Genomic DNA, 15,164 nt, shown 5'->3' on the forward strand with positions numbered 1-15,164 from the left:
TTGCTTAATTTCAAATGGTTTAGGATAATTGTGTCAGATTACAAAAATATAAAAATAATTTGGACAGGGCATCCTTCAGATATTATACACCATATAGATAGGATAAAAAAGGGAGGTGTTTTAAAGAAAGATAGAGGGGCTTAAAATATGCTCTCTAAATTTACTTTCATAATTTACCCCTTTATTTAGGTATGCTTATTGTAGTACAATATTATCTCTTTTCAAAATTTCTACCTATCATCCTTTGAAAGGAAATTTTAAGAGAAAATAGTGACTGCAACAAATAAAATACTGCCTTGCCTCAAAGAACTATGTTAAAATAACAAAAGTATGTGAATAAAAGCGTATAATATTTTAAAATGAAACATCAGTGATTTGGTTTTTTTGGAAATAGTTTTAAAATGGTATTCATTTAGACTGTTTGAAGGCTTTCCAATGTTGCTAGGGAAGAAAAATAAAAATACTTATTTTCAAAATCGTTTGCTAGCACTAAACATAAGCAAGCAATATTTTCCAACAGATTAAAGATAATGTAAGCATTTAAAAACTCCTGTTCTTCCTTTCAATTACATGAATTGTCTAAAAACCTTTGATGAAAGTCTGTAAGATAGAAGATATGTCACAATTATCAATATAGAGACATTTCTTAAAATAAAAATTATCATAAAATATAACATTTTGGTAACTAACATTAACATCCAAAGGCAATATGAGAACTCAAATCCATAATAATTATTCATACACCAAACCACTGTAAACCTAAATCATTTCTGAAGACCTGAATGTGTCAAGAACTTTGACAATTATGACTGGAGCCAGGAAACTGGAGCAGTGCAGAATTTCTTATGAATTTCTCCAGTTACTTTTTATAAATGCTGTCTTGGATGACAGCTTAATGTGTACCACATGCAATATTTATTCTTCTTCAGTGTCAGACTGTCTAGCCATCCAAGGGAATACAAAGAATGTCACTTATTAGGATAAAAGCACAAGGAAGGTAATCAAGGACATATGTAACATCAGCCAATCATGCCCTATTTCAACATCCTATTCCATTCATAACAGTTCAACAATTATTTGCTTACTGATAACTTGCTTTCAGGCTGTTTGTGTTCACCATAATGGTGGTTTGCATTTATTTTGCTCTTTAGAATGGGACACTTGCTGTGCCACACGTGTTTGTCAAAACTTTGTATCTTCCATCAGAAATGGCTTAGAGTATCAAATAATTTCTATTTGTCAGGAACTACTAATGCAACAATTAGTAACCCTTGATGTTAACAGGGCAGGGAAATAACTATAAAATAGCAAATGTGTAACTATTGAATATTTCATAGCAAAAAAAGTCTATTAAGTGATACATAGTAAGAAAGTAGGTATTATTAGCTAAGCCACACTCACATATCTTCTTATGGCTAAGAATGTTTAATCAGCATTGTTTTTTCTTTTTTTCTGTTTTCCAAAATTATGAAGCTGACAAAACTTCCCAGTCTACCCCACTGGTCTTTAAGCTATATATGCAAAATGTCCAAGATATAGCAAGTTGTACTAAAACTTATACTTGGCCACCAATACATATTTTACTTAATAATAGATTTTAAAAAAATAATGTCCCATCACATACCATAATCATGAACTGTGTAATTGCTGAAACAATTATTTAATTGTGCTTAATCAGAAAATTTCAACCAGATATGGCTTTAACAATGTATTCCAGTAACACTTAAAAGCTTTTACAAGTACTAATTTCAAGAGATCCAGGCAACTGAGATGTTTGTCTTTGAATACGGGAAAGGAAACAAATGGCTGATATTCTCCATATCCTCTTTCTTGGTCTCTTTCTTTTCTGTCTCTATTTCAATTTGGCCTGAAGCAGAGCAAGTTCTATGATGCAAGGAATATGCCATGCAAACTATTCTGTATAATTTTTCAAAATAAGACTCAGGAAAAAAAAACACTTTTAAATAATAAAAGCATTATCACCCATTTTTCTCTTCCAGTCCTAAAACATGATGAGAGTTAACAAAATTTTTATTTTGGGTTTGGGGCTACATGTGAAGGTTCGTTACATGAACACATCACAGGCTTTTTTTGTACCTATCACCCAGGTATTAAGCTCAGTAACCAATAGTTATCCTTTCTGCTCCTCTCTCTCTTCCCACCCTCTTTCCTCAAGTAGACCCCAGTGTCTACTGTTTCCTTCTTTGTGTTCATAAGTTCTCATCATTTAGCTCCCGCTTATAAGTGAGAACCTCTGGTATTCAGTTTTCTATCCCTGTGTTAGTTTGCTAAGGATTTTTTTTTTTTTTTTTTTTTTGAGACAAAGTCTTGTTCTGTCGCCCAGTCTGGAGTGCAGTGGTGCGGCATGATCTTGGCTCACTGCAATCTCTGCCTTTTGGGTTCGATCTCCGCTCACTGCAACCTCCACCTCCCGAGTTCAAATGATTCTCTTATGTTTCAGCCTCCCAAGTAGCTGGGATTACAGGCATGTGCCACCATGCTTGGATTTTTTTTTTTTTTTTTTTTTGTATTTTTAGTAGAGACGAGTTTTCAACATGTTGCCCAGGCTGGTCTTGAATTCCTGGTCTCAAGTGATGTGCCCACCTCGGCCTCCCAAAATGCTGGTATTACAGATGTGAGACACCGTGCCCGGCCAATTTTTTTTTGAGACAGGGTGTCACTCTGTCACCCAGGCTGGAGTACACTGGCACAATCAAAGCTTACTGCAGCCTCGAATTCCTGGGCTCAAGCAATCCTTCCACCTCAGCCTCCCACATAGCTGGGACTACAGGTGCAGGCCATCACAAGAGGCTAATTTCTTTTTAATTTCTGTAGAGGCAGGGTCCCACTATATTGCTCAGGCTGGTCTTGAATTCCTGGGCTCAAGTGATCTTCCCGCCTCAGCCTCCTGAGTAGCTGGGACTATAGGCGCATGCCACTGTGTCTGGCTAATGTTTTTATTTTTTGTAGACGTAGGATGTACCTATATTGCTTAGGCTGGTCTCGAAATCCTGGCCTCAAATGATCCTCCTGCCTCGGTCTCCCAAAGCACTAAGATTACAGGAGTGAGCCACTGCACTTGGCCTAATTGCAACGTTTTATATAAGCAGGACTCAAGTTAGTTAAGAGAGTTTATTATGTAATTACAACTGCCAGGAACTAGCCAATTAACTGTCAATCTATCTATGTTCATACACATACATATGCTTTTCTCTTAGAATTATGATAAATAAATTATATTTCAAGTCAAACAGATCTGACACAGAATAATTTCTGCCACAGGATAATTTCATTTAATATATGTAACATATTTTATTTAATTCTCATAATTCTATAAGAAAATCATTACTCTCTCTGACAGGTGAGGAAACCAAGGGCTATAAGGCAACTAACCAAACATTCTTGAGTCATGCTTACACAAAATATTGCAATTATGTTTGCTCTCCGATAGGTATAAGTTTCTGTGTAATTTTCACTAGGATACAAACAACATAAAAAACTCCTTGTCTACTTTTGTTGCATGAAAAGCATGCTATAAATGCATAAAATGTTTTATACTTTCTCTCATGAATTTGAGCTAAAAGAAGTTTCCAAAATATTTAACTAGATTTCTTACTTCACTTCTCTGAGCCTTAGGTTCTCATTAGTAAATGGATAGAAATTTGCCTTCCAAGGTTGTTATGGGGATTAAACGAAATGATAGAACATATGTAAACACCCCAAAGTGCAGCATATAATAGATGCTCAACAAATGGTAGTCATTAGTTTTGCCCGACCTGGATGTACATGTACATATACATATACATATACGTATACAATGTTCATTATATTGCTATGCACTAATATAGTACTAAACCAGAACATTATACAAAACATCCATTTGTATTTCAGCTAATAAAGGAGATATGTACAAACACACACAGTCTCACACACTTCCCTACTCCCAAAGTAGTTCTCAAAAACAAATCCAAGTTAGTGAAAATGCAAGGAAACAGAATAAGTCAGTACATGGTTAAAAACAAATACACAAATAAAACAAGTGGTTGAAGAAAGTAGTTTTCTTGAGAAAAGTAGCAATAATATGTATTTTCAATATAAAAATATATAAACTCTTTTATGTACTGTCCCTACAATGGCTATTAAATTGGAAAATAGTTTTTAGAGAGAAGTCCATACAATTAAAGATACAATTTTAGGTACAATTTTTTAAAAAATACCACTCTCAGTTGGCATTTTCTAATTAGGTTATAATGAATTTTTAGTCTCAGATTTTATAGTGCATGAACTGTCTAACAACAAAACCTTACCTAAATGAAATTCATAGTAATAGGAAATGTGACTGGTATATGACACATTTCTCAGGCCTTGTCTACCTTTCCAGCATCACCAGTGCCCCAGTGCTGAGATACTATGGCTTAGCAGTTAGTGAGGAACATGAGCTCTGCAGATGAACTGCTTACAATTGGATGTCGGCACCACTGACTGGTTATGTAACTTTGGCCAAGTTCCTTAATCTCTCCATACTTGCTTTTCATTTCCTTAAAATGTGGGTAATAATGGCACCTACTTTACAAGCTTGTTGGGAATCTTAAATATAACTGGCATAAGGTCAAGTGTGAAGTGTTGACTGAATGACGACTACTACAAATACAACATTAGGCATACAAATTATCTGCCATTGCTCTACCTCATAGTGCTGTGGTTTGAATGTGCCCCCCAAGGTTCGTGTGTTAGGAATCCTAAGCCCCCAGTGCAATGGGATTGGGAAGTGGGACCTTTAAGAGGTGGCTAGGTCATGAGGGCTCACCCCTTATGAAGCAATTAATGCTGTAATCATGGGAGTAGGTTAGTTATTTCAGGAGTGGACTCCTGATACAGAGAATGAGTTTGACCCACTTTGCTCTCTGTCTCCCACTTGTTTCTGCCTTCTGCTCTTCTGCCATGGGATGACCCTCAGAAGATGCCAGTGACATACTCTCAGGCTTCCTGGGCTCCAGAACCATGAACCAAATAAATTTCTCTTCTTTATAAATTACCTAGTCTGTGGTATCTGTTACAGCAGCAGAAAACAAACTAACACGTGATATTCTCTCATTTCCCTATTTCTATAACATCAACTCCCTCACCCCATCACTGAAGAATTATTATTATTACTATTTTTGAGATGGAGATTCACTCTTGTTGCCCAGGCTGGAGTGCAATGGCATGATCTTGACTCACTGCAACCTCCATCTCCCAGGCTCAAGCGATTCTCCTGCCTCAGCCTCCCGAGTAGCTGGGATTACAGGTGCCCGCCACCAAGCCCAGCTAATTTTTTTGTATTTTTTAAGTAGAGATGGGGTTTCACCATGTCGGTCAGGTTGATCTCAAACTCCTGACCTCAGGTGATCCACCCTTCTCAACCTCCCAAAGTGCTGGGATTACAGGCTTAAGCCACTGTGCCCAGTCAAATAATTATTTTTAACAAATTATGGTTTGCTATAACAGAAAAAGTTAAATCCTGTTTATCATATCAATATATAAAAACCAATCTGTGGTTACAGGTATGTTTTTGGGGGGTTTATTCTGTACCACTATTTTAGACTTGGCAATTTCATATAATTTTTAATTTCGGTTTCAATAAGAGCCATTGTATTTTCTCCACCAAAATTTTTATACATGATATTGCGTAAAAATGCAAGCTAAGGTGGGTCCTAAAATATATTGCTGTTGCCTCTTAACAATGTTATTAAATAGTTAATAAAATTACGAGACAAGGCAAAAACAGCAGCAGCAAATGCTTATTATCCTAAAAAAAAACCCACAAATGTTGTCTTGAGAATTGTTCTTTTTAACTAAAATCCTAATTTAGTTTATTAACTAAACAATTGGATGGAGATTAAACTTTCTGAGATAAAACAAAGCAAAATGCTAAAGTTGCTGACGTGATATTTTCAAAGATTTCTGGAGATTCACAAACATATCTTGTACTGTCGCTTAGCTGTCAGTCATCCTGTGTGGAACAGTCGCATTCAGGTCAAATGGATCTATTTCTACCACTTACCTGCTCCAAGAACTTGGGCATGTTTTATAATCTTTCCAACCGCCTGCCCTATCTGTAAAATGGGCATGATAATATCTGCTTGATAAGTATAATATCATACATCTCAGCAATTTCCAAGCTCAGAATGCCCATCACATAGCAGGAACTCAACAATAAATAATGGTTTGCTATGTATGTCTTTTAGTTTGGTATAAGAAAAGCTAAATCGGCCGGGCGCGGTGGCTCATGCCTGTAATCCCAGCACTTTGGGAGGCTGAGACGGGCGGATCACGAGGTCAGGAGATCAAGACCATCCTGGCTAACACGGTGAAACCCTGTCTCTACTAAAAATACAAAAAAAAAAAAAAAAAAAAATTAGCCAGCCTGGTGGCGGGCGCCTGTAGTCCCAGCTACTCGGAAGGCTGAGACAGGAGAATGGCGTGAACCCGGGAGGAGGAGCTTGCAGTGGGCAGAGATCGCGCCACTGCACTCCAGCCTGGGCGACAGAGCAAGACTCCGCCTCAAAAAAAAAAAAAAAAAAAAAAAAAAAAAAAAGCTAAATCAATTATATTAAATGGAGGAAGCGGGGAAGCAGGACATACAAAAGAAAAATGACAAAACTTAAAAGTCATGTTTGAAAACTGCTAGTGACCTTCATGTTGGACATCCATATACGTTCCTGGGGAAAAATCTTTTAAAATTTCATTTAAAAAGGCTAAAAATGATTACCAATGAACAGATGCTATTTGATCTTTTCCTTTTAAATTTCAAAATGGATTAAATCCAACAACATTTCCCACAGCCCCATAATACATTCTTTTAAAAGAATCTCTAAGGAAAATGCTGATTATCACCCAGGAATACTGATGACTACCCCTTGATTTCAATGACAAATATTTAAAGTACTGAAAAGGCACTGCTAAATCTTTGCTAATGAAAAGACAAAGCTTATTTCTCTCTCTGTTGGAGTAACCCATTCCTAAACTAATATGCAGAACTCTTATTCCAATGATGCAAATGCTTCATTTTGGCCAGGTATAGTGGTTCACACCTGTAATCTCAGCACTTTGAGAGGCCAAGGCACGTGGATCGCTTGAGCCAAGGAGTTCTAGACCAGCCTGGGCAACATGGGAAACCCTGACTCTTACAAAAAATACAAAAACTAGCCAGGTGTGGTAGCCTGCGCCCGTCAGGGAGGTCCAGACTGCAATGAGCTGTGATTGCACCACTGCACTCCAGCCTGGTCAAGAGAGTGAGACCCTGTCTCTGAAAAAAAAAGAAAAGGAAAAAAATGCTTCATTTTAGTAAACATTCAATTCAAGGCCAATGTAATAGTGTAATGAGGGTCATCTCGGAATTTGAGGATCAAATGAAATAAAAAAGCTGAAACACCGTAAGGCTCTAGACAAATGTTGGCTGCTGTTATTTCTTAATAAAGTTCAACCTATTTCTTTGAAGTTGTACATCGAGGGGCTTTTAAAAAGTGCTTCATAATTGGTAGCATGAATCAACAAGTCACTAGACAAGCATGGAAAAGGAAAGATGAAATTTGAAATAAATTGCAATTATTACTTTAAAGGCTGTTTAAAACACTTAGCAATCAAAAATATTTCTGGACTATAAGAAATCAACGAAAGCAAACTAGAAAATACATTATGGTTATTCTTAAAACCCAAATAAAATTTTAGAACACATTTAGAACATGTTTAAAATGTTTCAATGGTATGTACTTAAATAAAAACATATACGTTTTTTCAAGTGGTTGTCTTCACATTTTATTCCTTTTTGATGGCCCATTATGCTCTACATCAACTGACTCCTGTTTCCTTCTCCAACTTCAATTCCTATAACTCGTATTCTGTTTTATTCCATCTAGCTACCTCAGAGCCTTTGTACTTGCAGTTTCCTCTCCCTGAACTGAGCTTTCCATGGATTCTCTCATGGCATGTATCCTTATTTCATAAGGTCTTCCCCAGCCGCCCTAACTAAAACAGTTTCCTCTTACTCTGCTTTGTTTTTATTCACGGTCCTAATCATTCCCTGCATTATATTAAATGTCTGTTTGTTGGATGTCTATTACTCCATGAGACTGTAAGTCTTCCAGGAGAAAGGGCTTTTTCTGTTCACCACCTAAGATAATACATGACACACAGAAGGGCTTAATAATTCTTAATAATTATTTGCTTAAAAAGGAAAAAGAAAACAGTACCCACCTCCTCAATGAGCTCACAGTCTTCAAAAGGAACATAAATTTGAAATTTGCATTTATAATGACAGTTTTTTTTACCAAGTTTTGCTTTTCTTGATGTAAAGCATTAAAAATACAGATTGCACAGCAATGTGCAGTCCCAGCCTTATATAAACAGGAGTATATGCAAAGTTCATAAGTCGGTTATTTTAAAACACATTTTTAAAAAGCAGAATTTTAAAACTGGTCGTAAAAATGGTCACAGATACAAAAATATTTCTCAAATTGTTCTATTTCTACTACATTGTGAATTAAATAGGCTTTTGAGGGTGAGTCTCACATTCTAATGTTTTTGATGGGACATGCTTTCTAGGTCAATTTAGAATAAAGGAATATAATAGTTTAAGTAATGTTACTGATCTCAAATATAGATATGCCAATTCACTTTGCTCTTATTCTAGCCAAAGCAACAGCTGCCCACTAAGATAAAAGATGGGAAGAAACATGGTGAGATGCAGAAAAGGCTTATTTTCAAGGCCCTGAGATATGGAAGAGGGAATGAGAGTAGGAAAAAAGATCAGGTCTTATCTGTAACCCAGCCCAGAAAAGTTGCTCTTAAATTGGGCTGCAACCTCAGGAATGCTCTGTACGCAATTAGGAAAAGTTACTATGGCAAACCTAGATATTTGCATGGGTATCTTTTCTTTATGAATTCATTACACTTCATTAAAATCATAAAATTCTAGCCCTGGAAGGGAACCTTAGAGATGATCTTTAATTCTTTACTAACTTGCACTGCCTCACCCCCAACACATACATACATACATTCATACTCAGAGAGACTGAGATATATGAAATCACAATGAAACTGTTTTAAAAGGTTTTTAAAAGAATAAACAATTTTCTTTAAAAAATCATGCTACTGTAACATGATTTTACATAAAGACTGTACATATTGTAACAATGTAAACAAAGAATGATTTACTCTAATGGAAGCCAAGGGTGACAATAAAATCCTCTAAGCTGCAAATGGTGAAGTTATAGGGCCCAACCTGAAAGAGGGGATGGGGTTGTAGAGAACATGGCAGTGATATCATGGGAGTCTCACTGTTATATTTATACATGTAATAAATTTTGTTCCTTAATCCAATAACAGAAATAAAAACCAAGGTAATGTATCCAAAAGATGCATTCACAAGGCCAAAACAAGTTCTTTTTCCATTATTGAATACTTTTTGAGCTATAAGTAAATTTGGGAAACATTATTTATACAGAACACATTTTATATGAACAATCTCAATGAATTATCTTCTACATGAAAGGCTAAGTAATTTAAATGGCCAAGTTCAAAGAGCTACTTATAGTAGCAAATAAAGACCATAGCACTTGTATTTCAAATTCTAAAGTAGTATTCTTCTTAACACACCCAACTCCTTGATAGTTTCTACTCCCTAGGTTACAAATAGACCATATTCTCCAGTTTTTTAGGATTCGTTTTCTTTATAGAAACAATATTATTAATGGTCCCTAACATTTTGGGCTAGGCTTCAAGTCTATTTAACTCATCAAATAGTTAAACTACAACATTAAATCCAAAGGTAGATGCTGTGTCTGGGGAACATGCTGCACAGGAAAGAACGGTAGAGACAAATAATGCTCTTCCTCCTATCCCACACAAGCAGGACACATTAGGCTGTAAAACACTGACATTGTTCACCTTTCCTTTTCTCCACCCTTCTCCCAGGAAAACCTGTTATTCAAATCCTACAAACTATCTTGAACCTCCATTCTAAATCCTTCCCGAGGTCCTGCCCTATATTTCCCACTCCCAACAGTCCTGAGATTTCTGAGCTTCAAAATTCTCCACTACCCTCTTCACCAACTACTAAACTCCTGTATTAGTCCATTCTCACATTGCTATAAAGAAATACCTGAGACTGGGTAATTTATAAAGAAAAGAGGTCTAACTGGCTCACAGTTCTGCAGGCTGTGAGGCACGGCTGGGGAGGCCTCAGGAAACTTCCAATCATGGCAAAGGTAAACAGGAAGCAGGCACAGCCGGAGAAGGAGGAAGAGAGCAAAGGTGTAGGTGCTACACACTTTTAAACAACCAGATCTCATGAGAACTCACTCATTATCACGAGAACAGCAAGAAGGAAATCCACCCCTGCGGTCCAATCGTCTCATACCAGGCCCCTCCTCCAACACTGGGAATTATAATTCAACATGAGATTCGGGCAGAGACAAAAATCCAAACCATATCAACTCCGGTTGTAAAAGTGTAGCTCATCCCAACTCAGTGTTTTGGTAACAAAATATGACTCAGAGATCCTTAATCTCTAGTGCAGATTTTTAAGGGGATTGTTTTTGAATTATTCAACAAAGTGAGTAGGGTAGGGAAGCAAAGAAATTCTTTGTGTAGATGAATCATTTGTAATTTGAAGAACACTGGATAGCTATAAACCAAACTTTATATTTCATTTCCTAGAACATAGATGTGTGTACATGTATAGAGAATATATATTTTAATTTCACATGACAGAATCCTAAGGAACACTTAATTTTTTAAAAAGTACTTATAAACCTTTTAATCTGTGGAAGCTAGAAAAAATTTTATATAACTTTTCCTGTTTATGTGGAGTGAAATTCTTCAGCTAGTTTGAAAAAGATGAAAGTCCTGACATATTTGATAAATTACATCACTCACAAATCAGTAAGTCAGCAGATGGTGCTAATGAAGATTACAACGGGCACTCCCAAATGTATCACTTTCTTGAATTCAGTGAACCATCTGGCAAATAGAAATCATTGGCTATAAATAGTATTGCAAAAAATACAAACAGGCCAAGGGAAATTCCTAATATGCATAGGGTCAGTAGCATTATGTTCATATAAAAAAAGTGCTTTCGTATATAATTATCTCTTTCATAAGAAACCAGAAGTGCACTACTGTATTGTTATCTCTCGATAAGAATATGAAATTGTCGAAAGAATATTCAAAACCCATTTAATGAAAACCAAATAGGAATTCACAAATATTATTACATGTAAAAATATATTCAAATGCAAAAGTACATTTGACCAAAAAAGAAAAAAAAAAAAGATTCCTGAATGGGCAAAGGTTTTTCCCCATCCCCACTTCTTTCAGCCTTCCATCTCCTGTAATAAAAAGATCATTTTTCTTTATCATATTCTTTTTAATTCTAAAGATTCTGATCAGAGAAAGAAATAATCAATTCCACAAAATTCATTCACCAAAAAATTATTTGAAATCCTAATTCATAGTATAAATAATACTGTTAACAATAAGCTTTATCATAATACAAAGTAATCTTTCCAAAGCAGAATGTCTGTGTTATATTTCTAGCTTAAATGATCTTGTCAGAAACTGATGACCTCCTACAATAGTTCTATAGAAATAGTTTTTTATATTTATATGCATATATGTGTTTGTATATATATGCACACATACAGAAATAGAAAATTGTGTGTCAAAAATATACACACTTCCACCTACATATACACTTACTGAGATATAGTAGCTGTAATTTTTATAGGCAGCTCAAGAAATCAAGAAAATATATTTATTCCATGATTCCCCCCAAACCAAGCACATAATGTGTAGTATCCCCAAACTATTTTTAGTTGTTATGTACAAATTATGTGGAAAACTAATGAACACATAAAGATGGGAAAGGGGAAGGAACTGAATCATGGTATAATAAGAATAATAAAACATTTTTCTATTTAAAATGCATTTAGTGAACTTGACACATTGCCCTTCATTATTAAACAACTTAAAAGACTTTCCAAGTATTTGTCTACCTATCTTGAATCAATTTCATCACTCAGATTAATTGACTCATATAATATTACCCAAAAGGTAATGTTAAATGACTACAAGCCCACCAGGGCATATGAAAATGTGTGTATAACACACACACACACAAACACACACACACACACACACACAGTCTGCGTATCTAAAAGTTTAGTTATATTTTCCAGTTGAACATAAATATGTAGTATAATAAATAATAAAATATAATTATCCTTTATTAACAGTTTCAAGAAAGGTAGGATCACAAAAATGAAACATAATTGATGGCTGGTAGGTGTAAAAAATATGTAAAATTAGTTTATTCTACTGATTTCATAATTGGATGGCATATTCTACTAACAGAGCAGCAAGGGTGCAAAGATTGAAATTTAAACCCCTAATTAAGCAGTAGTTTGACAGTTCTAATGTCCTGTACCTGCTTGACACCATGACTCAGTAAGCAATCTCAAATGAAAATTAATACCGTCTATAGTATAATCTTAGTTATAAGTAACAGCTGATCGTGTTTAGAAAATGAAAACCTCAAGTGTTCAAAAATGCTTGTGCTCACCAAAAACAACAAAAACTTCTATATAGTTTTACTCATTCAAGAAACAGCAATTTGTAATAATAAAAAATGGTTTGTGGATTCACTTACAACATCTTGATTACTGTCATTTGATCATAACACAACTGCAACCAACCCGGCTGCCATGTCAGCTTCTCTTCAGGGGCTAGGTCTTTAGTCATAAATCAATGAAATGACTAATTCAATGACTAATGCTTGCAGCCATTCCAGTTTTTGCATCTCACAAAATGTCAATATAGCTACTCAATAACACAATAGACTTATCTTTCAAAATGCTTCCTTCTTTTCTAGGGTTGAAAAATAACACATTACCATTTACATTTAGGGTGAACTTCAGTAACTAAAGTGTTCAATACTTCTGAAATGGTGACCTGCTAAAATAACAACAGTTTTAGTCTCCTCTTGTGGCCAAAGTCACAAACCTCTCCTCTCCTCTTTCTTGATGGTTTAAAATAGTTTTCCAGATCTAAAAGACCCATGAAAGTATTTATTACTGTTTCCTGCATCAGTCTTATTTGCTATAGTAACATTACATGTTAATCTTAAAAAACAAAAACTTTTTCTTTTGCTAAAGAAGCAACTAATAATGCAAATGGAGCTTAGATGTAAACATTACCAAAAAACAAGATGCTAACACAATTAAAAGGATTTAGTAGTTAAAATGGATTTTAACTATTTACATCTGCTTTCAGTGTTATAAATGATGAAAACCTAGTGTTCATATCCCTCATAATAAAAATTTATTCTGCACTTTAATACAAAGGCTATGTTGCATAAACAGAGAGGATTTAAAGCTGTAGCAGAGTGGCTGAATGAAAGGAAAATGGCAATCTTTCTGGCTCCAGTAGATGCCATTCCCTATCACACAATATTTCCCACTCATAAATATATGACAAATACTTCCTCAATCATTTTTTACGAGCAGGGATGCACAGGGGGTAGTCAATGGCTAGCTTGAGGGAAAATAGGAACAGCAGGCGGCAGAAACTGTACAGAAAATGGCTATGTGGTAAATTCTCTTCTGGAACATCATTCAGTTACCCAGTCTTTGATCTTTCAGCTACAATTACACTAACTTCCACAAGATCTGGATCCCTCCCAACCCTCCCCCCAAGACATACACACACCAACCCCAAGCCAGATCATTAGTTATACATAAAACCTATTAAGATTTGGTTTTATAAAATAGGATCATTCATACCTCTACATTATTATAAATTAAAATTTGCTATTTAGACAAGGGTTTACTTTCAATTGGCTATAACCATGTCATCATCACAACTGGTCTCACAAAAAACATGGGGTGTCTGGCGACAGCTAAATCACAGACTGGCGTCTCCTAAGCAGTCTGTCTACCATTAGGGTCTGGGAAATGGTATTTACTATACAATTAGAGCCAGGGAGTTCTACCTGTAATCATCCAAATACAGGTGTGAGAAGTCCCTTTGGGCAAGGAAACTGACTCATCCCTTTTCATGTAAACTTTGATGTCTGTATTGTTTCACAGAGCCTCAGGAAACCTTACCATTCATACCACAATGAGAAGATTTATTAACTGAGGTCAAGTAATAAATTTTAAAATTCATTCCTAAAGGTAACAATTTTTAACACATTAATCATCAAATTTATAAGAATTTGAAAGGCGACAGAACTGATTATTTTAAAGTTAATTACCTGATGGAGGATACTGACCAGCTGAATGAAATCTTTATGTTAAATTTATGCTTTTTAGAACATTACCAATAAAGAGGCTAAATTCATCTTCCTATCAGGAACACAAAATGTCTTATAGTAATATCAACAGGGCATTTTTAGTTGCAGTAATTTCACAGAATTTATTCTAATGATTTATTGGAGTTAACCATCTGACATTAATTATTGTTTTGGCTTCCAGTCTATGAATGTTTATTTTTCAGTTTAAAGCCTTCTCACTCTTTGATATCATATGGAAATGAGAATTTTTAATGGAAAATTGAAACCATGTGCATCTAAGTACTTAATGAAGTACAGGGAGAAACAGACAATATAGTTTAGGAGAATTCAGATATTTTGCTTTGGATAGTTTTGATTTGTTTGTATGACTCAATAGTATAAAATACTTAAGAGTCCAGTGAGGCAAGTCAAAGTGAGTGGTATGCCAAATGTGGACATGCCCACAGGTACATGAACATATAATTTTCTGAAGTTATCAGTGATAGTAACAAATCTTGTACATTTTGGTTACATGCCAAAAATGACAATCAATACATGAATGCATAGTTTTTACCTCGATGTACTTTTAAAGCATTTGAAACAGGTACTGGTCTTTCCCCACACACAGTCTTTTTTTTTTTTTTTTTAAAGCATTCAATCTGGATTTTAAAATTCATGCCCAGCTACAACCCCAGGTGGGTATTTTAAAGTCACTTATAATATCAACACAGCTAGAAATTCCTAGTGTAAGAAGTTTTATTGTTGTGACTACATTTATTCTCATTTTGCAATGGAAATAAACGATAATGTCTAATAAACTTACATTTGATAAGTAAATGTATATAATTCAATA

General features: G+C 35.1%; 1 protein-coding gene across 3 annotated transcripts in view, besides 1 other annotated feature; it reads right to left on the minus strand.

Annotated features, from left to right (window-relative positions):
- OLA1 (Obg like ATPase 1) overlaps positions 1-15,164 on the minus strand; it is a 176,086-nt gene that overhangs the window by 35,350 nt on the left and 125,572 nt on the right. The window lies entirely within an intron of this gene.
- Positions 13,020-14,940: an enhancer, noted in NCBI's record as "VISTA enhancer hs243". NCBI's record gives its function as "enhancer in: limb[9/10]" and the evidence as "EXISTENCE:transgenic organism evidence [ECO:0001131][PMID:17130149]".

Source organism: Homo sapiens, chromosome 2 (genome assembly GCF_000001405.40).
Source record: "Homo sapiens chromosome 2, GRCh38.p14 Primary Assembly".
In the NCBI taxonomy this organism is placed as follows: Eukaryota; Metazoa; Chordata; class Mammalia; order Primates; family Hominidae; genus Homo; species Homo sapiens.